The 24501-nt window shown below is 47.9% G+C and overlaps 2 protein-coding genes and 1 non-coding gene across 3 annotated transcripts in view, besides 7 other annotated features; 2 read left to right on the top strand and 1 right to left on the bottom strand.

The window, feature by feature from the left end:
- Positions 1 to 8383, bottom strand: part of CBL (Cbl proto-oncogene) — a 101811-nt gene extending 93428 nt beyond the window's left edge. The window contains exon 1 of the mRNA NM_005188.4: positions 8110 to 8383. Coding sequence (NP_005179.2) covers positions 8110 to 8304 — 195 coding nt within the window. The 5' untranslated portion in view covers positions 8305 to 8383. The remainder of the gene's footprint in view (positions 1 to 8109) is intronic.
- Positions 7866 to 7925: a silencer, noted in NCBI's record as "silent region_3976". NCBI's record gives its function as "represses an Ori minimal core promoter by ATAC-STARR-seq in GM12878 lymphoblastoid cells {active_cell/tissue: GM12878}" and the evidence as "EXISTENCE:reporter gene assay evidence [ECO:0000049][PMID:35858748]".
- Positions 8116 to 8305: a silencer, noted in NCBI's record as "silent region_3975". NCBI's record gives its function as "represses an Ori minimal core promoter by ATAC-STARR-seq in GM12878 lymphoblastoid cells {active_cell/tissue: GM12878}" and the evidence as "EXISTENCE:reporter gene assay evidence [ECO:0000049][PMID:35858748]".
- Positions 8376 to 8765: a silencer, noted in NCBI's record as "silent region_3974". NCBI's record gives its function as "represses an Ori minimal core promoter by ATAC-STARR-seq in GM12878 lymphoblastoid cells {active_cell/tissue: GM12878}" and the evidence as "EXISTENCE:reporter gene assay evidence [ECO:0000049][PMID:35858748]".
- Positions 8399 to 8432: a tandem repeat, named in NCBI's record as "fragile site, folic acid type, rare, fra(11)(q23.3)".
- Positions 8400 to 8432: a repeat instability region, noted in NCBI's record as "repeat instability region; expansion of the (CGG)n trinucleotide repeat is associated with fragility at FRA11B". NCBI's record gives the evidence for it as "EXISTENCE:polymerase chain reaction evidence [ECO:0000082][PMID:7603564]" and "EXISTENCE:Southern hybridization evidence[ECO:0000078][PMID:7603564]".
- Positions 8806 to 8875: a silencer, noted in NCBI's record as "silent region_3973". NCBI's record gives its function as "represses an Ori minimal core promoter by ATAC-STARR-seq in GM12878 lymphoblastoid cells {active_cell/tissue: GM12878}" and the evidence as "EXISTENCE:reporter gene assay evidence [ECO:0000049][PMID:35858748]".
- On the top strand, positions 18881 to 24468 carry DRC12 (dynein regulatory complex subunit 12 homolog). Its single transcript, NM_001145018.3, has 7 exons — positions 18881 to 18923; positions 19223 to 19298; positions 19728 to 19799; positions 20837 to 20956; positions 21479 to 21571; positions 23882 to 24012; positions 24270 to 24468. Exons 2-7 carry the CDS (start codon positions 19235 to 19237, stop codon positions 24420 to 24422), a joined length of 633 nt encoding a protein of 210 aa, NP_001138490.1. The 5' UTR covers positions 18881 to 18923; positions 19223 to 19234; the 3' UTR covers positions 24423 to 24468.
- Positions 23128 to 23422: an enhancer, noted in NCBI's record as "tiled region #11099; HepG2 Activating DNase matched - State 9:DNaseU". NCBI's record gives its function as "activates a minimal TATA promoter and a strong SV40 promoter by Sharpr-MPRA in HepG2 cells {active_cell/tissue: HepG2}" and the evidence as "EXISTENCE:reporter gene assay evidence [ECO:0000049][PMID:27701403]".
- On the top strand, positions 24081 to 24155 carry SNORD150 (small nucleolar RNA, C/D box 150). The gene has a single exon (NR_145809.1). It is a non-coding gene; the product is annotated as a small nucleolar RNA, C/D box 150 (small nucleolar RNA).
- Positions 24469 to 24501: the final 33 nt, after the last annotated feature.

Raw genomic sequence — 24501 nt, 5'->3', positions numbered from 1 at the left:
GACAACATAAATTAAGTATAACTGGAAAAGTATACAAAAGCCTCTATGATCACCACACAAAGTAACTAGCACACATAATTTGAAGAAACACCAACCTTTAAGTAGACAACAGATATTTGATTGAATAATACTAGTTAAACACTATCTTAGTATCATTCAAGAGAATGTCTACTGCCCAGGCACGGTGGCTCACACCTGTAATCCCAGTACTTTGGGAGGTCGCAGTGGGCGAGTCACTTGAGGCCAGAAGTTTGAGACCAGCCCGGTCAACATGGTAAAACCCCATCTCTACCAAAAGTACAAAAATTAACTGGTGTGGTGGCACACGCCTGTAATCCCAACTACTTGGGAGGCTGAGGCACTAGAATTGCTTGAACCCAGGAGGCAGAGGTGAGATCACGCCACTCATTGCATTGAGCCGAGACTGTACGCCAGCCTGGGTGACAGAGCGAGACTCTGACTTTAAAAAAAAAAAAAAAGTCCGGGCGGGGTGGCTCATGCCTGTAATCCCAGCACTTTGGGAGGCCAAGGAGAGCAGATCACAAGGTCAGGAGTTTGAGACCAACCTGGCCAACATAGTGAAACCCTGTCTCTACTAAAAATACAAAAATTAGCCGGCTGTGGTAGCACACACCTGTAGTCCCAGCTACTCAGGAGGCTGAGGCAACAAAATTGCCTGAATCCAGGAGGTGGAGGTTGCAGTGAGCCAAGACTACGCAACTGCACTCCAGCCTGGGGCAAAAGAGCGAGACTCCGTCTCAAAAAAAAAGAAAAGAAAAGAAAAGATGAATGCCCCCCTCCATACCTTTTCCATGCAGTTATTCCTTGGGGGCACACAAAGCCAACTACTAGTTGGGTGCAGTGGCTTGTGACTATAATCCCAGCACTTTGGAAGGCCAAAGCGGGAGGAAGGCTTGAGCCCAGACGCTTAAGGATGCAGTGAGCTATGATTGTGACACTGCACTCCAGCCTGGGTATCAGAGCAAGACTCTGTCTCTTAAGTAAAAAATAAATAAAAATAAAAATAGGCACTTGGTCTCAAGTCACCCGCTTGGCCCTCTTCCAAGTGTACTAAAAAATAAATAAATAAATCCCTTTTTAAAAAAAACAAAACCAAAAAACTTACAAAGTATCTACTATTACAGAAGGCTCCATAACTGGATATTGCAGGAGACAAGCAGGTTACAGGTGCTACCCTCAAGGACTTTACAATCCTGAGAGGTTAAGATAAATACAGAAAAAATATTGACACATTTCACACACAGAAGAAAGATGTTTAAACTTAAGAGATCCTCATCACTTCAGACATATTTCTCCTATAGTCACATCACTTATATATCATTTATAATGTAATCTCCTAGAGTGTGACAATACCTACCACTATGCTTGTGTACACAAACACAGGAAGGTAAGAAGGAAGGGAGGGAGTGAAGTAGTAGTCCAATTAAATGCTATATACTAATTTGCAAATTCTAAGTGTATCTCACTTCCAAAATACAGGAAGTTTCCTAAGGTGCTTTTAGGAGGCACAGGGAAGGCAAGGTGGATAGGGTAAGGCAGGAAAAGTTAGAAGGAAGGAAATAATCATCTTTTAAAAATACTTTCTTGGCTGGGCGCAGTGGCTCAAGCCTGTAATCCCAACACTGTGGAAGGCTGAGGTGGGAGAATTATTTGAGCTCAAGAGTTTGAGACCAGCCTGGGCAACACTGTCAAGATTCTGTCTCTATTTTTTTTTTTTTCTTTTTTTTTGAGACGGAGTTTTGCTCTGTCACCCAGGCTGGAGGTCAGTAGCATGATCTTGGCTCACTGCAACCTCTGCCTCCTGTAGCCAGGACAGGCACCCGCCATCATGCTCAGCTAATTTTGGTATTTTGGTAGAGACGGGGTTTCACCATGTTGGCCAGGCTGGTCTCAAACTGCTGACCTCAGGTGATCCCCCAGCCTCAGCCTCCCAAAGTGCTGGGATTACAGGCGTGAGCCACTGTGCCCAGCCTGACCCTGTCTCTATTTTTAAAAATACTACTAGTTAATAATAATGAATAAAAATAAAATTTATTTATTTATTTATTTATTCATTCATTCATTTATTTATTTTGAGACAGAGTTTTGCTCTTCTTGCCCAGGCTGGCATGCAATGGTGCGATCTCGGCTCACCGCAGCCTCCGCTTCCCGGGTTCAAGGGATTCTCCTGCCTCAGCCTCCCGAGTAGCTGGGATTATAGGGATGCACCACCACACCCAGCTAATTTTTGTATTTTTAGTAGAGACAGGGTTTCTCCATGTTGGTCAGGCTGGTCTTGAACTCCTGACCTCAGGTGATCCACCCACCTCAGCCTCCCAAAGTGCTGGGATTATAAGCATGAGCCACCACACACCCGGCCAATAAAATATTTTTTTAATTCAAAAAAATGTAATTTTTTTTAAGCTCATGATTTTAAATGTATTTTTCTAATAAACTATACTCCATTTAAAAATCACCAATACCTTAATGTTTCAATTATATAAGCTAATTAAAAATAAAGGCTGGGCGTGGTGGCTCACTTTGGAAGACCGAGGCAGGCAGATCACCTGAGGTCAGGAGTTCGAGACCAGCCTGCCCAACATGGAGAAACCCCATCTCTACTAAAAATACAAAATTAGCCAGGCATGGTGGCACATGCCCGTAATCCCAGCTACTGGGGAAGCTGAGGCAGGAGAATCACTTGAACCTGGGAGGCAGGGGCTGCAGTGAGCCGAGATCATGCCATTGCACTCCAGTCTGGGCAACAATAGTGGAACTCCATCTCAAAAATAATAAAAAAAATAAAATAAAAATAAAATTCAAACCTAAAATAGATGCTCTACTTCAGGAGTGGGCAAATTAATCACCTGCATCCTTTTTTTGTGGCTTTCACATTTTTAAAGAGTCGTAACAACAACAACCGGGCACAGTGGCTCATGCTTTTAGTTCCAGTACTTTTGGAAGCTGAGGCAGGCAGATCACTTGAGGTCAGGAGTTCGAGACCAGCCTAGCCAACATGGCAAAACCTCATCTCTACTAAAAATACAAAAATTAGCTGGGTGTGCTGGTGGGCACCTGTAATCCCAGCTACTTGGGAGGCTAAGGCAAGAGAATTGCTTGAACCCAGGAGGCAGAGGTTGCAGTGAGCTGAGATGCCATTGCACTCCAGCCTGGGCAACAGAGGGAGCCTCTACCTCAAAAAATAAAAAATAAAAAGAGTTGTAACAATAACAACAAAGAACATGAGACTTAGTGTGTGCCCAGCAAAGTCTAAAATACAGTATCTCCCCGTATCTGAGGTTTCCATTACCTGCAGTACCATACAATAAGATTTTTTGTTGTTGTTTTTGAAACAGAGTTTCACTCTTGTTGCCCAGGCTGGAGTGCAATGGAGCAGTCTCAGCTCACTGCAACCTCCGCCTCCCGGGTTCAAGCAATTCTCCTGCCTCAGCCTCTCAAGTAGCTGGGATTACAGGCACCCACCACCATGCCCGGCTAATTTTTGTATTTTTAGTAGAGACAGGGTTTCACCTTTTTGGCCAGGCTGGTCTCGAACTCCTGACCTCAGATGATCCGCTTGCCTCGGCCTCCCAAAGTGCTGGGATTACAGGCATGAGCCACCGCGCCCAGCCTACAATAAGATATTTTGGAAGACTACATTTATATAACTTTTACTACAGTGTATTTTGTAATTGTACTCTTTCATTATTGTTGTTGTTAATCTCTCACTGTGCCTAATTTATAAATTAAGCTTTATCATAGGTAGGTATGTATAGGAAAAACATAGTATATGTACACGGTTCAGTACTATTGGGGGTTTTCAGGCATCCACTGGGTGTCTTGAACATATCCCCTAGAATAATGGAGGATTACTGTATTTACAGTGGCCCTGAAACCTCCCTTTACAGAAAAAGTTTGCCAACCTCTGTTCTATTTCATAATGGAATTTAAAGTCTCTTACTAAATTGAGCCAGGCGCGGTGGCTCATGCCTGTTATCCCACCTCAGCACTTTGGGAGGCTGAGGTGGGCAGATCAATTGAGGCCAGGAGTTCGAGAGCAGCCTGGCCAACATGGTGAAAATCCGTCTCTAGTAAAAAAAAAAAAAAAAAAAAAAAAATTGAAAAATTAGCCAGGTGTGGTGGCGCATGCCTATAATCCCAGCTACTTGGTGGCTGAGGCACGAAAATCATTTGAACCTGGGAGGTAGAGGAAACAATGAGCCGAGATCATGCCACTGCATTCCAGCCTGGGTGACAGAGCAAATAAATAAATAAATAAAGTCTCTTACTAAATTAAACACTTTGATACTTTTAAATTTACATTTAAAGCAATTTATTTGTTTTTGAAACAGGGTGTCACTCTGTTGCCCAGGCTGGAGTGCAGTGGCTGACTCAACAGCTCATTGCAGCCTCTATCTCCCAAGCTCAAGTGATCCTCCCAAGCAGCTCGAGCTTAGAGGAAGGCACCACCACGCCTGGCTAATATGTGTATTTTTTGTAGAGACAGGGTTTCGTCATGTTGCCCAGGCTGGTCTGGAATTCCTGGGCTGAAGCTGGGATCAAATGATCTGCCTACCTCATCCTCCCAAAGTGTTGGGATTACAGGTGTGAGCCCAGCATACATTTAAGGCCAATTTAGGTGACTTTTTCTCTTTTCTCTCCACTTCCCACTCCTCTCCTCCCTGCCTAATTGTCTTTTGGCTTACAAGCCACTTCACATACAAGTATTTATGCACATGTTTATTACAATATCCTGGGGTGGCAAAAAGAAAACCAGTGGCTCTGTCTAACTTTTGTTTAATAACAAGCATTCTAGCACAAACATTTTTCCAACAGTTAAGTTTAAGTTCCATAATGGATTAGTAAATCGGGCCTATGTTAACCAGAACCCATGACTTATGCCAACTTTTTCCATCTGTATATATCCAATATTGGGGGAAGGAAAGAGACTAACAGCTCCCAGTGCTAATTCAATAAACTGATTAAGAGTTGGCTGGAATAATATTCATCCAGCTTCAACAACAAAGATAAAGCAGGTATGAGATGGTGACTTAGAACTAAATGTGTGTCATTTAAAAGAATTAAACAGACTTTTTTTTTTTTTTGAGACGGAGTCTCACTCTGTCGCTCAGGCTAGAGTGCAGTGGTGCGATCTTGGCTCACTGCAACCTCTGCCCCAGGTTCAAGGGATTCTCCTGTCCCAGTCTCCCAAGTAGCTGGGATTACAGGCGTCTGCCACCACACCCAGCTAATTTTTGTATTTTTTAGTAGAGGCAGCATTTCACCATGTTGGCAGAGCTGGTCTGGAGCTCCTGACCTCAAGTGAGCCGCCCACCTCGGCCTCCCAAAGTGCTGGGATTACAAGCGTGAGCCACGGGGCCCGGCCCAGAAATTTTGTTAAAAAGAATTAAATGTGTGGGACATCTGTGGATTTGACAGTAGGTTCTTCACCACTTATAGCACATGAAGTCAAGGTGTGGTGACACATTTAAGACTTTCAACAATAAAAATAAAGTGAAAAAAGAGGACACCTTATGCTCAAAACATCAAGGGTAAAAGAGATGGTGCAATCTAGTAACATCACAGAGGTATTCAGAAAATCTGGAAAGCAGTATAAACGTATCAGACTAACACATTAGAAAGTACTACGTTTTCAGAGCAACTAGAAATACGTGATAAGAGGGGAACAGACAGTATTAAAATCAACTTCCGAGGCAAGTAATACAAAAATAAAACATCCCTCTCCCTACACTGGAAGGGAAAAGCTAGAAGCCTACTTTCCGTGAAACTATCAAACCTGAAAAGCAATTTGAGTCTAAACTTTGAGTCCTCTTTATTCTTCCCAAATAATTAAACATTCTGCAGAATAAATCAAAATTCAATACACATACTTTAAATAGATGAAGGAGTAAGACTTAAGGGAGGATTTTATTTGGGCTACCTTGTAGAATAGGACTATCTACAACTTACTCTGTATTTATAGAAACACTTTAATAAGAATACAGAATACTCTTATTCTTTAAGAATACAGGGCCAGGCCCAGTGGCTCACACCTGTAATCCCAGCACTTTGGGAGGCCGTGGCGCATGGATCACCTGAGGTCAGGAGTTCGAGACGAGCCTGGTCAACATGATGAAACCCCGTCTCTACTAAAAATACAAAAAATTAGCTGGGCGTGGTGGCGCGCACCTGTAATCCCAGCTACTCGGGAGGCTGAGGCACGAGAATGTCTTGAACCCAGGAGGCGGAGGTTGCAGTGAGTCGAGATCGCACCATGCACTCCAGCCTGGGTAACAAGAGCGAAAAACTCCGTCTCAAAAAAAAAAAAAGAATACAGAATACAGAAACTCTTTAGTAAACAGATTATTCTTAAGCAGAGGCCACTAATCAACACAATTTTGATTGTACTGCACCCACATGTCTGATACGAGACACTCATTAGAAAAGTATTTTTTCTATGCCAGAGTAAAATTTGTAGTCCTTAACGATAAATCCCTAAAAAGCAAACTAACAAACTTTAGCATTTGAATATCTTCGATGTGTTTTTTTTAAAGGAGTCGACACATTTAAAGTTTCCTTTACACACCTAAACTTTCTGTAAGGATTTTATTATAATTTCTAACAATAAAATTAGTACTACACCACCAATATAATCAACACACGAATACTTGTGTCATTAATTACAATACCAATTATTTAACATGAGAAAAGCCAGCCCTAAAAAGGTGGCTATGAAACCACTGGCATGCACTACTGGAGTGTTAATTCACACACAGGACTTATTAAGCATTTAAATTGCACATTACATTGGCTAAGTGCTTCATAATCATTTTATTAGCGGTTTCTAGTCCAAAGCAACCCATGAAGAACTTTACAGAAGAGGAACCGAGGCCCAGGGAGGAACCAAAGAAAACCAAATTTTACCCTGGAGGAAATAACACCATTCTCTTAAAACGTGCCAGATACTTCTAATCACTTTTCATACGCAATATGAATTTTGTCAAAGTAATTAATTAAAGAATATGAAAAATACCAAGAAAACGTATTGAATTCTGACAAAGCGTCCGACTGCTTAAACAGTTAAATACTTGAGACTGACTACATTTCATCATATAGACACAACTATAAGGAAGTAAAATTCTCCCAAATGACAAACTTAGTGGCTAAATATAAAGGAGTTATTTTTGTTCGCACTTGCAAAAAGCAAACAAACAAAAAAGCGTAATCAAAGAAGCTCAACGAACAAGTTTAAAGTCAGGACCTGTAATAAGGAGTCAGAACCGTTACCAGAAAAAAAGAACCCAGCTCAAGCGATGTAGTAGGGAGGAAGTTATTAAGAAGTCAGAATCTGCTGCTGCTTAACAGGCTCAGCCAGTCCATCTTTCAGAAGATAATAGTTCTAACCAGAACTTGTGGTTTAATCAGTGCATATCTCAGCACCAGCAATGGATCACATCCAGTGTTTCTGAGGGTAACAAAAAACTTGAGCCGGCGCTAGATGGGGAGGAAAGTTCTTTCCTTGCCTCACTTAAACATCAATATGTCTTTTATCTTCGTGTTACATCTTAATGAGAAAGGACTATACTCTCACCCAGAGCACAGCTTCCCTGAGAGCTGTCCTGACCCCAGCCAGGTTCCTCAGTCAGAGCCCATGAACCTAATTCCCTAGTCAGATCTCACCCAGCCAAGAGCCCCAGCCGGTACATCACTCTTCCTCACCCCCTCCCTGCTAACCTCCCAGGCCAATTCCGTGACCTACATCCCTACACCCTGCACAGAGCCCCAAACTCCGCACCCCTCATTGTACTTCCGCCCCACTGACTTCCCAGTTAACCTTCGCCCCAGCCCCCACTCCATCTTTGTCTGGCTACCCCAAACGCGGCACCCCAGCGTTCCCCGACTCCCAACGGCAGCCCCTCCCCCACGCCGCCCCCCACCCTCCCGGCCTCGTCCCTGCCCCCACGCCCCCGGCCGGTCACCCCGGCTCCGCGCCTCCCCGGCTTCACCAGACCCGTCCCCTCCCCCGCTTCCTCCGTCCGCTCGTTCCCCTCCCCGCGGCCCTCCGCCCACGCCCACCCTGCAACAGCGGGCGCTCAGCCGGCCTTTCACCTTGTCCATGAGCTTCCAGCACTTCTCCACCATCTTCTTGTCCACCGTCCCCGGCGGGTGGGGGCTGAGGTGGTGGTGGTGGTGGTGGTGCGGCTGGAAGGCGTCCTTCATGAGCCCAATCAGGCCACCCGAACCCGAGCCCCCGGAGCCGCTGCCGCCCCCGGCCCCAGAGCTCTTCTTCACGTTGCCGGCCATGGCCTGGGCAGGGTCGGAGCCCAGGCGGGTCCGCCGGCTCGGCTCGACTGCGAGCGAGGGAGAGAAGCAGGGCGTGAAGGAGGGGCCTCTCCCGGCCGCCGCCGCCGCCGCCGCCGCCGCCGCCGCCGGCTATCCGGGCGGAGGGAGGAGCGGCCGTGGGGAGGGGAGTGGGCGGCGCCGGGAGTGCGCGGGACGCGCCCCTTCAGAGCGCGCGAGCCCGGGGCGGGCGGGGCGCGTCCCGGAGGCGGACCGGCTTACTGGTAAGCTCGGGGAAGCGGCCGGCCGCGGCCGGACTGGGCAGCGACGATCCCCGGGCCACCGGCTTCGAGCAGCTCGCGTGCCCACAGCTCCCGGAAAGCCGCGGCCAGGTTTCTGTGCCCGTCTTCCCCGCCCCTACGCCGGGGCGGGGCGGGGCCAGGCTGGGGCGGGGTCGGCGGAACCTTTGGGCCTGCGCCCTCTGCTGGAGAAACGGGGAAAGGAGCGGCGGGGGGTTGGGGAGTAGGTCCAAGGTGGAGTCTGCGCAGTAGCCAGAAACCAAGACTTCCATGCTCCTTGTGGGCGGGAGGTTGGCGCTTCTGGGGTGGGTCATGGGAATGTTTAAATTAAGACAGGTGGCGATGGAATGGAAGAGTCCTGATGTCAAGTCTTTCCCCACCCCTGACAAATGAGGAAATCGAGCTTAGAGTTATTTGTTTATTTACACTGTGGGAGGATGGTGGGAGAAAAAGGAAAGTTATTTCTCCACCCCTTATTATTTTCAATTCTTCATTAAGACACGACCAAGGACAGGAATATGAATGCTGCGGCCCATTCCAGCCGGATTAGGCCCCAGAAAGCCTTGAGACACTCAAGCCAGGACCTCTTCTTCCAGGCCCTTTGACCTCTTGAAAAGAAATCACTTCCTTTTTTTATTTTTTATTTTTATTTTTTTGGCTTGTGAAGACTAGTTACGTTTCTGGGAATTGAATCTCAAACATGTATTTAAGATTCTCCTACTCAGAGCATTGCACCACAGGTCGGCGCCGCCAGCATGAGGGCCCCCTCAGAAGCTGACCTGCTGCTGGCTCCGCCCGAGGGGGTTCTCTCTCCCGCCCAGGGAACAGAAATGCTGTTCCTGGTCACTTCCACTTCTCAGTCAATTACACTTCTCTAATGTAAAAGTTCCGTTGGAAGAACTTTGAAAATAGGAACTTCCCTTCCAAAGAGGGAAGTGCCCTGCCCTAATTTACTAATTCTGAGCCTCAGTTTTGGGAGTTTGCAGACCCAGGTGTGTCAGTATCAGTTCCGCCTTCGATCCCCCTCCAGGCTCTTCCACAAAGCCCTTGACAGATTAGGGAGTTAAATTTATCCGGTGCTCCTGTAAAGGGGAAAATATCTTTGAATGCAGGGACCATTCAGACAGGCATCCTGGGTTTGCAATTTAATCGCCTTTATCTAGAATTGATTTTGGAGTCAACATTATAATTTACTATCAGAAGAATTTCCTTTTATCATTTTCCATCCAGGAAGAGAAGAATCTACAAAGGGAAAATCTAGGCAAAGCTCCATCCCTTAGTGCCAACACCTAGTTGCAGGTCCTCCGTTTCTTTTCCCTGGACTATTGAATATTGAAACCTTTTCCTGTGCCTTCAATTCATCCTGCCACCATAGGCTTCCTAAAGTATAGTTCAGACAGCATCGCAAAAAAACTTTAAACACCTCCCATTGCCTCGGGAATAAAATTGACAAGTTGCTCTAACTCCAAGCTAAACAACCTTGTAGTTTTATACTACTCCCTGGTACACATGTCTTATGCTAGCTGACTCACCAAGTCATCAAATACAATTATTTCTTTTTTATTTATTTATTTATTTTATTTTATTTTGAGACAGAGTCTGTCACCCAGGCTGGAGTGCAGTGGCACAATCTTGGCTCACTGCAACTTCTGCCCCCCGAGTAGCTGGGATTACAAGTGCCCGCCACCACACCTGACTAATTTTTGTATTTTTAGTAAAGATGAGATTTCACCATGTTGGCCAAGCTGGTCTTCAACTCCTGACCTGAGGGGATCTGCCCTCCTCAGCCTCCCAAAGTGCTGAGATCATGGGTGTGAGCCACCGCACCTGGCCAATTCTTTCTTTTCTCATCACCGTTACTCAGACTATTCCCTTATTCCATCTGCCTGAAGTATGCTTTAAAATCCAATCCATTCGGCCCAGCACAGTGGCTCACACCTGTAATCCCAGCACTTTGTGAGGCCGAGGGAGGCGGATCACCTCAGGTCAGGAGTTGGAGACCAGCTTGGCCAACATGGTGAAATCTTGTCTTTACTAAAAATAAAAAAATGAGGCCGGGCGTGGTGGCTCACGCCTGTAATCCCAGCACTTTGGGAGGCCGAGGCAGGTGGGACACGAGGTCAGGAGATCGAGACCATCCTTGGCCAACATGGTGAGACCCCATCTCTACTAAAAATACAAAAAAAATAGCTGGGTGTGGTGGCGCACGCCTGTAATCCCAGCTACTCAGGAGGCTGAGGCAGGAGAATCGCTTGAACCCAGGAGCCAGAAGTTGCAGTGAGCCCAGATTGTGCCACTGCACTCTAGGCTGAGCGACAAGAGTGAGACTCTGTCTCAAAAACATAAATAAACAAATAAATAAATAAAGTTAATAAGAAAAGGAAGATTACCCTTTTTTTTACCTTTTTTTTTTCTTTGAAACAGAGTCTCGCTCTGTCACCCAGGCTGGAGTACAGTGGTGCAATCTTGGCTCACTGCAACCTCCACTTCGGGTTCAAGCCATTCTCCTGCCTCAGCCTCCCGAGTAGCTGAGACCATGCCCAGCTAATTTTTTGTATTTTAATAGAGACAGGGTTTCACCGTGTTGCTCAGGCTGATCTCAAACTCCTGAGCTCAGGCAATCCACCCACCTCGGCCTCCCAAAGTGCTAGGACTATAGGCGTGAGCCACCGTGCCCTGCCACAATTTTTATTTCGCTTGCTTTAGAAAATGTACAAGAGAGGGGGTTGGACTGTTGATCACAATGTCATTCCCATTCTGGATTATGCTAGAGTTGGTTCATCCTGCATCACATCGTGTAACATGTAGCCTTTTTCTTATCCCACTTCACCTTCACCCCAAACCACATCCTCATTCTGCACCTGAAAGTCCATTGACTGGGCCGGGCACAGTGGCTCACGCCTGTAATCCCAACACTTTGGGAGGCCGAGGCGGGCGGATCAACTGAGGTCAGGGGTTTGAGACCAACCTGACCAACGTGGCGAAACCCCGTCTCTACTAAAATACAAAAATTAACCAGGCGTGGTGGTGGGCACCTGTAATCCCAGCTACTCTGGAAGCTGAGACAGGAGAATGCCTTGAACCTGGGAGGCAGAGGTTGCAGTGATCCGAGATCGCACCACTCCACTTCAGCCTGGGCACAGAGCGAGACTCCATCTCAAAACAAAAAAAGGAAAGTCCATTGACTGAACGTATTTGGAAACTATATTCTCTTCTGAGGTATAGTTGCTTGTATTCTGCAATCTCTATTCTAATATCATTCTATGCATCAGGATGAGAAAAGAAAAATAGCTTAAAGCAGTCTGAACTATGTGAGGTATGCAAAATTATCAGGCCCAGCGAGACATGAGTATGGGACTTCAGTCACAAATCCCCGACCCATGCCTGGGGGCAATGGTTTAAAGGCATTTGGTCCCTGACTAGCTGCCTCACCCATTATCTTCATGTTCGTGGAATCTGTGACACAAAGAACAACGTACAGCCAATCAAATACCTTACGCTGTGTTAATGTAAGTGATTGGCAAACAGTTTAGGAACTGCCTCTTCTATTTATTTATTTATTTATTTATTTTCGGTGGGGTGGTGGTAGTCGCAAGTTGCCCATGCTGATCTTAAATTCCTGGCCTCAAGCTATCCTCCTGCCTGGGCCTCCCAAAGTGCTAAGATTACAGGCATGAGCCACCACACCTGGCCTCTTTTTTCCTTTAAAAACACACTTGTTGGCCAGGCCTGTAATCTCAGCACTTTGGGAGGCGGATCACAAGATCAGGAGTTCAAGACCAGCCTCGCCAAGATGGCGAAACGCTGACTCTATTACAAATACAAAAAATTAGCCGGACGTGGTGGTGGGCGCCTGTAATCTCAGCTACTCGGGAGGCTGAGGCGGGAGAATCACTTGAATCAGGAGGCAGAGGTTGCAGTGAGCCAAGATCGCACCACTGCACTCCAGCCTGGGCAACAAGAGTGAAACGCCATCTCAAAAAAAAAAAAAAAAAAAAAACCCCACACACGTTTGTAACTGCTATTAATCTGATAATCTGAGCCTATTGTCCAGGGCAACTTGAATCTACGCTCCTGGATTGCTGTCCTCAAAATTGGTCCAAGTAAACTCTCTACTTAAATTTGTGCCAGTTTTTTCCTTTATGTTAACAAGTATAATGGGGACAGTAATCATTCCATGGGAAAAAAGTTCCCAGACCAAGCAAGGTAGCTCCTGCCTGTAGTCCCAGCACTTCGGGAGGCTGAGGCAGATGGATTGCTTGAGCCCAGGAGTTCGAGACCAGGATGGGCAACATAGCAAAACCCTGTCTCTATAAAAAATACAAAAATTTGCTGGGCGCAGTGGCTCATGCCTGCAATCCCAGCACTTTTGTTACAGGAAAGGGGTCCTGATCCAGATCCCAAGAGAGGGTTCTTGGATCTCGCACAAGAAAGAATTCAGGGCAACTCCATAGAGTAAAGTGAAAACAAGTTTATTAGGAAAGTGTTGGAATAAAAGGATGGTGACTCCATAGACATAACCATGTTTATGGTTATTTGTTGATGATATGCTAAACAAGGGGTGGATTATTCATGCCTCCCCTTTTTACACCATACAGGGTAACTTCCTGATGTTGCCATGGCATTTGTAAACTGTGATGACGCTGGTGGGAGTGCAGCAGCGAGGACGACCAGAGGTCACTCTCGTCGCCATCTTGGTTTTGGTGGGTTTTGGCCAGCTCCTCTACTGCAACCTGTTTTATCAGCAAGGTCTTTATGATCTGTATCTTGTGCCAACCTCCTATCTCATCCTGTGACTTAGAATGCCTTAACCTTCTGGGAACACAGCCCAGTAGTTCTCAGCCTCATTTTACCCAGCTCCTCTTCAAGGTGGAGTTACTCTGGTTCACACACCCCTGACACTTGGAGACCAAAGCGAGCAGATCACCTGAGGTTGGGAGTTCGAGACCAGCCTGGGCAGCATGGTGAAACCCCATCTCTACCAAAAACACAAAAATTAGCTGAATGTCGTGGCACATGTCTGTAATCCTAGCTACTCTGGAGACTAAGGCACAAGAATCTCTTGAACCCGGGAAGCGGAGGTTGCGGTGAGCTGAGATCGCACCACTGCACTCCAGGGCAAAAGAGTGAGACTGTCTCAAAAAAACAAATAGGCCGGGCGCAGTGGCTCACGCCTATAATCCCAACACTTTGGGAGGCCGAGGCAAGCAGATCACCTGAGGTCAGTAGTTTGAGACCAGCCTGGCCAACATGGCAAAACCCTGTCTCTCCTAAAAATACAAAAATTAGCCAGGCGTGGTGGCAAGCACCTGTAGTCCCAGCTACTTGGGGAAGCTGAGGCAGGAGAATCGCTTGAACCTGGGAGGTGGAGGTTGCAGCAAGCCAAGATCACGCCACTGCACTCCAGCCTGGGCAACAAGAGCGAGACTCCATCTCAAACAACAACAACAACAAACAAACAAAAAATTAGCTGGGAGCAGTGTGTGCGTCTGTAGTCCCAGCTACTGTACTCCCAGCTGGGAGCAGTGTGTGCGTCTGTAGTCCCACCATGCTGAGGTGGGAGGATCACCTGAGCCAAGGAGATTGAGGCTGCAGTAAGCCGAGATCGCGCCACTGCACTCCAGCCTGGGCCACAGAGCGAGACTCTGTCTCAAAAAGAAAAAAAAGAAAGAAAGAAAAACCTCCCAAACAGGCTTCTAGATGAGGAGGACAGGGACAGGTACCCCCACTGCATTACAGCACAGGAGAAGGAGGTGGTGGAGGGAGAATAAATGAAAAACATGCTCAAGATTAGAAGAAGCTGGTCTGATGGTACTGGGTTATCAGAACTTATTAACATTAGTGTCATGTCAAAGAAAAGAGTCAAACTCTGTAAAATATTTGAAGAGATTTATTCTGAGCCAAATATGAGTGACCAATGGCCCGTGACACAACTCTCAAGACATCCTGAGAACAAGTGCCGAAGGTGAACAAGCTACAATTTGGCTTTATACATTTTTTTTTCAGACGGAATTTCACTCTTGTTGCCCAGGCTGGAGTGCAATGGCGCGATCTCGGCTCACTGCAACCTCCGCCTCCCGGGTTCAAGAGATTCTACTGCCTCAGCCTTCCAAGTAGCTGGGATTATGGGCGCCCACCACAATGCTTGGCTAATTTTTTGCATTTTTAGTAGAGACAGGGTTTCACCATGTTGGCTAGGCTGGTCTTGAACTCCTGACCTCAGGTGATCCACCTGCCTTGGCCTCCCAAAGTGCTGGGATGACAGGCGTGAGCCACTGCACCGGCTTGCTTTATATATAAATTTTAAGAAAACATAAGACATCAATCAATATATGTAAGATGTACATTGGTTCAGTCTAGAAAGGCAGGACAACTGGAAGCGAAGAAGCGGGCAAGAGAATTAGGGTTAGAGTTAGGGTTCCAGGTCATACGTGGATTCAAAGATTTTCCAATTGACAATTGCTTGAAAGAGTTATTATCTAAAGACCTGGAATCAATAGAAAGGAATGTCTGGGTTACAATAAGGGGTTGCAGAGACCAAGGGTTTTTTGTTTTTGTTTTTGTTTTTTTGACAGAGTTTTGCTCTTGTTGCCCAGGCTGGAGTGCAGTGGCGCAATCTCGGCTCACCACAACCTCCACCTCCCGGGTTCAAGCGATTCTCCTGCCTCAGCCTCCAAAGTAGCTGGGATTACAGGCACCCGCCTCCACACCCGGCTAATTTTTTGTATTTTTAGTAGAGACAGGGTTTCGCCACGTTGGGCAGGCTGGTCTCAAACTCCTGACCTCAGGTGAATCCACCTGCCTTGGCCTCCCAAAGTGTTGGGATTACAGGAGTGAGCCACCGTGCCCGGCAAGAGACCAAGGTTTTATCATGTAGATGAAGCGTCCAGGTAGCAGGCCTCAGAGAGAATTGATTGTAAATGTTTTTTCTTCTTATCTTTTCTCTTTTTATTTTTTGAGACAGGGTGCCACTGCATTTCCCAGACTGGAGTGCAGTCACGTGATCATGGCTCACTGCAACCTCAACCTTCCCAGGCTCAGGTGATCCTCCCACCTCCGCCTCCCAAGTAGCTGGGACTACATATGCACACCACCAAACTGGGCTAACTTTTGTATTTTTTGTGTAGATGGGGTTTCACCACATTGCCCAGGCTGGTCTCAACCTTCTGGCCTCAAATGATCTGCCCGCCTCAGCCTCCCAAAGTGCTGAAATTACAGGCATGAGCCACCAGGCCTGTAAATGTTTCTTATCAGATTTAAAGAGTGTGTTCTATCAGTAATTCTAAAAGGGAGGAGGGTATGTTGAGGCATGTCCGGCTCCCCCTTCCCATCACGGCCTGAACTAGTTCTTCAGGTTCACTTTGGAAAGCCCTTGGCCTAGAGGAGGGGTCCACTCAGATGGCTGGCAGGCTTAGAATTTTATTTTTGGTTTATAGTCACTAAAGTTGGTATACAGGCGCCCACTACTAAATTCCACTGGCTTCAAAAATAAATAAATAAAAGATTAGAAGAAAAATATCCTCCAGATTTGGGAGATGTCCACAAGATTAGTTGACTCTGAGTTACAGGAGCTGGAAGCACTTGGGAAGTCAAGACTGGCTCTTCTCTTTGCTCTGTAAAATGCCCGGAAGTTCATGTAAGTGCCGTGCAGCCACCAAGGTGACAAGCATGAACCAGCCTCTGCCTAAAGTTACCCACTACCCAGAAGAAGGACTTTTCAATTCCAGATCTTGTGGCTTTTTTTTTTTTTTTTGAGATGGAGTCTTGCTCTGCTGCCCAGGCTGAAGTGCAGTGGCGCAATCTCTGTTTACTGCAACCTCCTCCTCCTGGGTTCAAGCGATTCTGCTGCCTCAGCCTCCCCAGTAGCTGGGATTATAGGCACGTGCCACCATGCCCAGCTAATTTTTGTATTTTTTAGTAGAGACAGGGTTTAATAATGTTGGCCAGGCTGGTCTCGAACTCCTGACCTCATGATCTGCCTGCCTCAGCCTCCCAAAGTGCTGGGATTACAGACGTGAGTCACCGCGCCCAGCCTCTTGTGGCTATTTCTACAGATCTGCTCCTGACAATAGGCAATGGACCAAAAATATTGAGGGTGACAGAGATGAAGAGAAGTACCTAAAGAAGGCCGGGCACAGTGGCTCGCGCCTGTAATCCCAGCACTTTGGGAGGCTAAGGCGGGTGGATCACGAGGTCAGGAGTTCAAGACCAGCCTGGCCAAGATGGTGAACCCCCATCTCTACTAAAAATACAAAAATTAGCCAGGCGTGGTGGTGGGCACCTGTATTCCCAGCTACTTGGGAGGCTGAGGCAGAGAATTGCTTGAACCTGGGAGGTGGAGGTTGCAGTGAGCCGAGATCACGTCACTGTACTCCAGCCTGGGCAACAAGAGCGAGACTCTGTCTGAAGAAAAAAAAAAAAAAAGATAGGCTGGTGCAGTGGCTCACGCCTGTAATCCAAGAACCTTGGGAGGCCAAGGCAGGTGGATCGCTTGAGGCCAGGAGTTTGAGACCATGCTGGACAACATGGTAAAACCCCATCTCTACAAAAAATACAAAAATTGGCCAGGTGTGGTGGCATGCGCCTGTAGTCCCAGCTACTCAGGAAGTTGAGGTGGGAAGATCACCAGAGCCCAGGGAGACTGAGGCTGTAGTGAGCCGTGATCATGCCACCGCACTCCAGCCTAGGTGACAGAGAGAGACACGGGAAAAAAAAAAAGAAACCTAAAGAAAAGAAAGGGTCTGCAGGTCCCCTAATCCAAAAGGAGAAAAGTCCTGAAGTTTTTGCTATTTTCACTCTAACCAGTATGGTGCCCAGAGATCCAAGTGGCAGATAAATGGCAAGCCTCCAGGATAGCACAGAGCTGGAGGGAAAGTGAGGGCTGCCTGACAAGGGAGGGCCACCCATCATACTCTCTCCCCAATGTTAATTCTTCCAGCCACTCCTGGCTCAAACAGGACGCTAAGAAGTATCCCCAAAGGGAGTCACCCCCACTGTTGCCCAGTAAATAATTTAAAAGCAAAAATGTAGGAAACTCAGGAGAAGGTCAAACAAGTCCACTAGAGGGAGCCCCAACCAACTCTATGCTACAGGGAGCCTCACAAAGCAATGTCTCAACACCTGTCTGAAAATCAACCACACAAGGGAATGGGGAAATGTAGCAATAGATTAAGTCACTAGGAGAGAAGATAGCCATGTAAACACGCAGCTAAAACACAGGCTTTTCAAGAGCTGCAAAATCAAACAATTAAAGATCAGGAAACTGATGCTGAGCAAAGTCAAATGGCTCGCCTCAGTTTACATATCCACAGTTGGGACTCAAACTCACATGTCTTGTCTCTAACCTGAGCTCTTTCCTCCACACTTGCATCCCTCTAGGTCAGTACCCTAGAGTCCATGGGTCCACTATTCCTCTGCGTCTCATTTCTCTGAAGTGGGAAACTCCCTGGACTACCTATTCCTGCACTTATTACCCTCATTCTACAGTGTACTGAAGAGGATCTTCGGTGGTCTGGGAGTTTTGTTTGTTTGAGACAGGGTCTCCCTCTGTCATCCAGGCTGGAGTGCAGTGGTGCAATCATAGCTCACTGCTGCCTCAACCTCCCAGGCTCAAGTGATTCTCCTGCTTCAGCCTCCCAAGTAGCTGAGACTACAGGTGTGCACCACCACACCAGGCTAATTTTTTAATTTTTTTGTAGAAATGAGGTCTCACTGTGTTGTCCAGGCTGGTCTCGAACTCCTGGCCTCAAGTAATCCTCCTGCCTCAGCTTCTCAAAATGCTGGGATTATAGGCACGAGCCACCGCCCCAGCTTAGATCTTCAGTTTTAAGCCTACTAATGTCATTTTGCTGGTGGGACCTCGGGATGTCAGTTGTCCAACATGGCTACTGTCAGTCCTTTTCCTCTGTATCAGCACCACATATTATCTCAGATGTGTACATCTGAATTTGGAAGTCTCCAAATTGCAGGCCATGTCTACATGGCAATGAATCATAACTAATCGACCTCCAAAGCCCTTTCTTTTCAAACTATACTTAGGATTTTGGGATAAGGAAAGAACTGACCCTTTGAGACCTTGATATTTTAAACTTTGTGAGCTGATTTAGCCCATTCCACCTTCCTGTGAACTCCATGTTTCCCAGTTGCCTGGACAACATACAGCCTCTGGAAACCCAACCTTCCAGCCCTCAGTCCTGCCCTCAAGAGAAATTTGCCACCAAGGATTGGCTCCCAGGACCCAGGCCCCGCCTCAGGCTCCTCGCTAGTTGGGCCTTCTCTCTGCCACTCCCCACGAGTGGGTCACTCCACGGGGAGCCCCAACGCTGGCAGGAGAGGATCCTACAGGTAGGAAGTGAGGGTTGAGGATGATGGGAAGAGGGAGGGGAGCAGGTACAGGGATTTCGTTTCTCTAAAAGAGAGTTGCAAGGAATGACTTCTGTACAGAGTCAGCCTGGTTGAGAGAAAAAACTCCATCCTCCCCACTGACCCCAACCCTGTCTGAGGTTCCAAAGAGACTGTGAACTGACTTTTCTGAAGGATATGAGAGACAAATTTGGACTCAGGAGAGTCTCCTGGTTCAGTCTAAAGCTCAGGAAAGCATCCCTGTGTCCAGACCTAAACATAAGGTCCCCTCCTTCTCCCAGGACAGCAAGGAGATGCCACCTAAAAACAAAGAAAAAGGGAAGAAATCTGGGGCACAGAAGAAGAAAAAGAACTGGGGTGAGTCATGGTGGGTGGAGGTGCCCCCTGCTTCTCCATGTTCTGCCATGAAGACCACGCAGAGCTCCTCCAGAGAGAATTCAGCCTTCTGCAGGACAGGATGGAGCTCTCTTGACCTACCTCTTTCATGTCCTCACAGCCAGATCCAGGGAGCTGAGGAAGTGGGGAAATGGTCACCCACGCTCTCCTTTAAGCCCCATCTAGCTCTGTGCCTTCCTAATATATTTGTCATGTGTATTTTGCATATCTGTTATGTGCTGGTCGGTGAGGACACGGTGCTGACTTCAGTAGACTCTGCCACTGTGGATACCTCATTTAGTGGTCCTCAGGTCTGCTGTGGCAAAAGTGCAGGGTGTGGGGTGAGGATGTGAGCAGAGTGAGGAATGCTGAGATCATGAAGAGCTGAGGCTCTGCCACTTGCCACCGCAGGTGCAGATGTGGTGGCCGAGTCCAGGCACAGGCTGGTGGTGCTGGAGAAGGAGCTGCTCCGAGACCACTTGGGTAAGGAGGGTAGAAGCTGGCATGGGTGGGCAACAGGGGAAGTGAAATGGGGCATTTCTGTATCCTGGGGGATTGGAGAGTTGGAGGTATGGTGGGGGGTTAAGTTGACCCTAACCATCCCCTAGTGGAAAAAGATGATGAGAGAGGGTGGGCAGTGAGAGTTGATAAAGGAAGGTGTTTTTTTTGTTTGTTTGTTTTTTGTTTTTTTTGGTTTTTTTGACAGAATTTTGCTCTATTGCCCGGGCTGGAGTGCAGTGGTATGGTCATAGTCCACTGTAATCTCTAACTCCTGGGCCGCAACAATCTTCCCGCCTCAGCCTCCCGAGTAGCTGGTATTACAGGTGCACACCACCATGCCTGGCTACTTTATTTATTTATTTTTTTTTTTTTTTTTTTTTTTTTTTTTTGAGACAGAGTCTTGTGCTCTGTCGCCCAGGCTGGAGTGCAGTGGTGTGATCTCGGCTCACTGCAACCTCTGCCTCCCAGGTTCAAGCGATTCTCCTGCCTCAGCCTCCCGAGTAGCTGGGATTACAGGCACGTGGCCACCACACCTGGCTAATTTTTGTATTCTTAGTAGAGACGGGTTTTCACCATGTTGGCCAGGCTGGTCTCGAACTCTTGACCTTGTGTCCCACCAGCCTTGGCCTCCCGAAGTGCTGGGATTACAGGCGTGAGCCACCGCGCCTGGCCCTATTTATTTTATAGAGACAAGGTCTCACTCTGTTGCCCAGGCAGGTCTCAAACTCCTGGCCTCAAGCAATTCTCCCACCTAAGCCTCCCAAAATATTGGGATTACAGGCATGAGCCACCATGCCAGGCTATCCGAAAAGAACATAGAGGGAGTTTTTACTTCTTAATAATGAGGAGCCTGTGAGACTCTAGGGATAAAAAACAAAAACAACAAAACCCAGAGAGAGAGTAAGAGGCTGGACACCCCACCACCAGATTTCTAGAGGTGGGCAAAGTCCATCACGTTCATGGGGGCTGATTTAGTGGGACCCAGCCAGTCCTGACGGCGGCTCTGGGACTGCTCACAGCTCTACGGAGGGATGAAGCCCGTCGAGCCAAGGCTTCCGAAGACCAGCTGAGGCAGAGGCTGCAAGGGGTGGAGGCTGAGCTGGAAGGGGCCCGAAGTGAAGGGAAGGCCATATATGCAGGTGTGTGGTCGGTTAAGCAGGTGGGCAGGAGACAGGGGCTTGGAGGAGGACAACCAACAGGGTCAGTTGATGCAAGGAAGGGAAACAAGGAGGGCTTCCGACTGCCAGGCCTGGTCTTGGTCTTTCCCAAACAGTACAAATCAGGAAGGATCCTGCAGGAACCAAAGGCAGGTAGGTTCCTGGGATCCCAGGCAGGGGCCTTCCAGGATGCCTGGTGCCATGTGCTTGATGCTGTGTAGGATACACATGCAGTCATAGCCATCATCTCAATCAGCCCATGGGCGGGGAGAAGGGCTAGCATCCCCATCCAAAGCTGGACTGGGGGAGGTAGGTCGGGCTTCCTGTCCCTTCCTCAGGTTTTCATGGTCTGCAGCTTCTCAGAATCACAAAAAGAACCAAGAAGGCCTTTGTGCTCCTGTTCCACTAGACCAAGTAGAGTCTTCCCCACCCACAACTTCATTTCCTTTCTCCATCCCTCCATCTCCAACCTGGGTCCCTGGTGGCCCACTGCCCCCACCCCAGAGATGAGTCGCCAGTGCCATGCCCTGCAGGAGGATATGCAAACCCGCAGCAAGCAGCTGGAGGAAGAAGTCAAAGGCCTTCGGGGGCAGCTAGGTAGGTTTCCCCACCCTCCAAGCCCCTTCTCTCCAAGAGTTGCAGCAAGGGCCAGCATGAAGGGGTAGACTTCAAAGTCTCTGCTCCAGAAAGCTGCCGTCTGGGCTCTTGGATCACTTTCCCCACTTTCGCTGACCCTCCACCACTGAGGACTGCAGCAGAGGGTTCGGGATACCAAAAATCTCTGCTGTAAGTAAAGAAGAGGCTCCAGGCGCGGTGGCTCAGGCCTGTAATCCCAGCACTTTGGGAGGCCAAGGCGGGCGGATCACCTGAGGTCAGGAGTCCAGGAACAGCCTGGCCAAATGGCAAAACCCCGTCTCTACTAAAAATATAAAAATTAGCCGGATGTGGTGGCGCACACCTGTAATCCCAGCTACTCGGGAGGCTGAAGCAGGAGAATCGCTTGAACCCAGGAGGCAGAGGTTGCAGTGAGCCGAGATCACGCCATTGCACTCCAGCCTGGGCAACAGAGCAAGACTCTGTCTCAAAAAAATAAATAAAAATAAAAAAGAAGATGTAGGCCTCACACCCCATTTCCTCCTCTCAAGTCCAGCCCTAACTCCCCACCACTGCCATGTCTCTTGTGAGCAAAACATATTCCCTTTTAGTTTAGCTGATTTCTACAATGAAACTAAGGGGAAATGTTTGACTTATTTACTTCTGTATCTTCAAGACCTAGCATCTGGTAGATCCTAAATAACTGTTCACCAAATAAATGAATAAACACTCCTAATAAGCAAAAATATTTTTAAAAACCAGGAAGCCTTTGCTTCTCTTGTCTCTTGCTTACAAAATAATGTTGAAATATCTCAGCATGACACATGAGCTCTTTCACAATTTTGGTCTCAAAGTTTTCATACCTTAAAAATGCCTTCAACCGGGTGCGGTGGCTCACCCCTGTAATCCCAGCACTTTGGGAGGCCAAGGCAAGAGAATTGCTTGAGGCCAGGAGTTTGAGACCAGCCTGGCCAGTATGGTGAAATGCCATCTCTACTAAAATTACAAAAATTAGCTGAGCATGGTGGCGTGTGCCTGTAATCTCAGCTACTTGGGAGGCTGAGTCAGGAGAATCACTTGAACCCAGGAGGCGGAGGCTGCAGTGAGCCGAGATCGCACCACTGCACTCCAGCCTCGGCAACAGAGTAAGATTCCAACTAAAAAAAAAAAAAAAAAGGCCTTCGGTTTAGCTATAGATGGCCAGGAGCTGCTTATCTGCCATTCAGACTCTGGGTTCCTTTCCTAATCTTTGCTTTACCTCAAATTCCAAGTCAATCAATGACTCAATTGTTTTTGTTTTTGCTGTTGTTGTTTTGGGGATTTTTTTGTTTTTTGTTTTTTGTTTTGAGACGGAGTTTCACTCTGGTCGCTCATTCTGGAGTGCAATGGCAAATCTCGGCTCACTGCAACCTCCACCTCCTACGTTCAAGCAATTCTCCTGCCTCAGTCTCCCGAGTAGCTGGGATTACAGGTGTGCGCCACCATGCCTGGCTAATTTTTGTATTTTTAGTAGAGATGGAGATTCACCTATGTTGGCCGGGCTCGTTTCGGACTCCTGACCTCAGGTAATCCGCCCTCCTCGGCCTCCCAAAGTGCTAGGATTACAGGCGTGAGCCACCGCACCCGGCCAATGAATCAATGTTTACTGAGCACCTCCTGTATACTAGCTAGGTGCTTTGTCATCCATTTATCATGTTTAAAGGTCACAGCATGCCCCTGAGGGATGTGTCATTCTCTCTTTACAGATGAAGACACCAGCCAGCCGCGGTGGCTCACACTTGTAATCCCACCACTTTGGGAGGCCGAGGCGGGCGGATCACAAGGTTAAGAGATAGGGACCATCCTGGCCAACATGGTGAAACCCCATCTCTACTAAAAATTCGAAGATTAGCTGGGCATGGTGGCATGTGCCTGTAATCCCAGCTACTCGGGAGGCTGAGGCAGGAGAATTGCTTGAACCCAGGAGGTGGCAGTTGCAGTGAGCTGAGATCGCGCCACTGCACTCCAGCCTGGCGACAGAGTGAGACTCCATCTAAAAAAAAAAAAAAAGATGAAGACACCAAGGCTCAGAAAGAGACATGCATGTGGTCACCTAGGTAGTAATCCGACTTTGGAGCCTTCTATCTCAAGCCCGCCACTCTCTGCTATATACCTCAGTGGAGCTTCAGCTTTTACAGGGACTGCGGGAAATTTGGTGATGCTGGGGGAGTCTGGAACGAGCCCATTTGAGGTCTCCTTTCCAGATACCTTTGGAGAGACTGGTCAAGGATAGAGTGTCACCATCCTGCTCTCTTTCATCCTGCCTGCCCCCAGAGGCATGCCAAAGGGAGGCTGCAGCTGCCCGGGAAGAGGCTGAACAAGCTCTCGGAGAGCGGGACCAGGCCCTGGCTCAGCTTCGGGCCCACATGGCAGACATGGAGGCGAAGTATGAGGAAATCTTACACGTAAGCACCACCCCCTGGATCCCAGCCATCCCAGTACCCAGGACTCCCCCATGCCCACAAACCCCAGCTCGTATGATGACTGACAACCCAGGGTTAAGGAGAAGGAGCGTCTCCAAGGGAGCCCTGCTCTATCCTGAGGGCAGACAGAGGGGATACGACCATGTCTACTGGGCAAGGAAAGCTTATGAACCAACCTGGGGCAGCACTCACTCCTTCCCTCTCTCTCTTTCTGGGGTCTGAAATATTGATGTCTGCAGGACAGTCTGGACAGGCTCTTGGCCAAGCTGAGAGCCATCAAGCAGCAGTGGGATGGGGCAGCACTGAGACTTCACGCCAGGCACAAGGAGCAGCAACGCCAGTTTGGACTCACCCCCCCTGGATCTTTGAGGCCACCAGCCCCTAGTCTCTAGTGTTCTCTGAGGCCCCAGCAATAAAGTGTCTTGATGTAGAACTCAATAGAGCTGTGGGCTCTGGCCGTTTGGCAGAGAG

The sequence above is a fragment of the Homo sapiens genome, chromosome 11, assembly GCF_000001405.40.
Source record: "Homo sapiens chromosome 11, GRCh38.p14 Primary Assembly".
In the NCBI taxonomy this organism is placed as follows: domain Eukaryota; kingdom Metazoa; phylum Chordata; class Mammalia; order Primates; family Hominidae; genus Homo; species Homo sapiens.
Note: the sequence above shows the minus strand (reverse complement) of the source record. Positions and strands in the feature narration are given on the sequence as shown.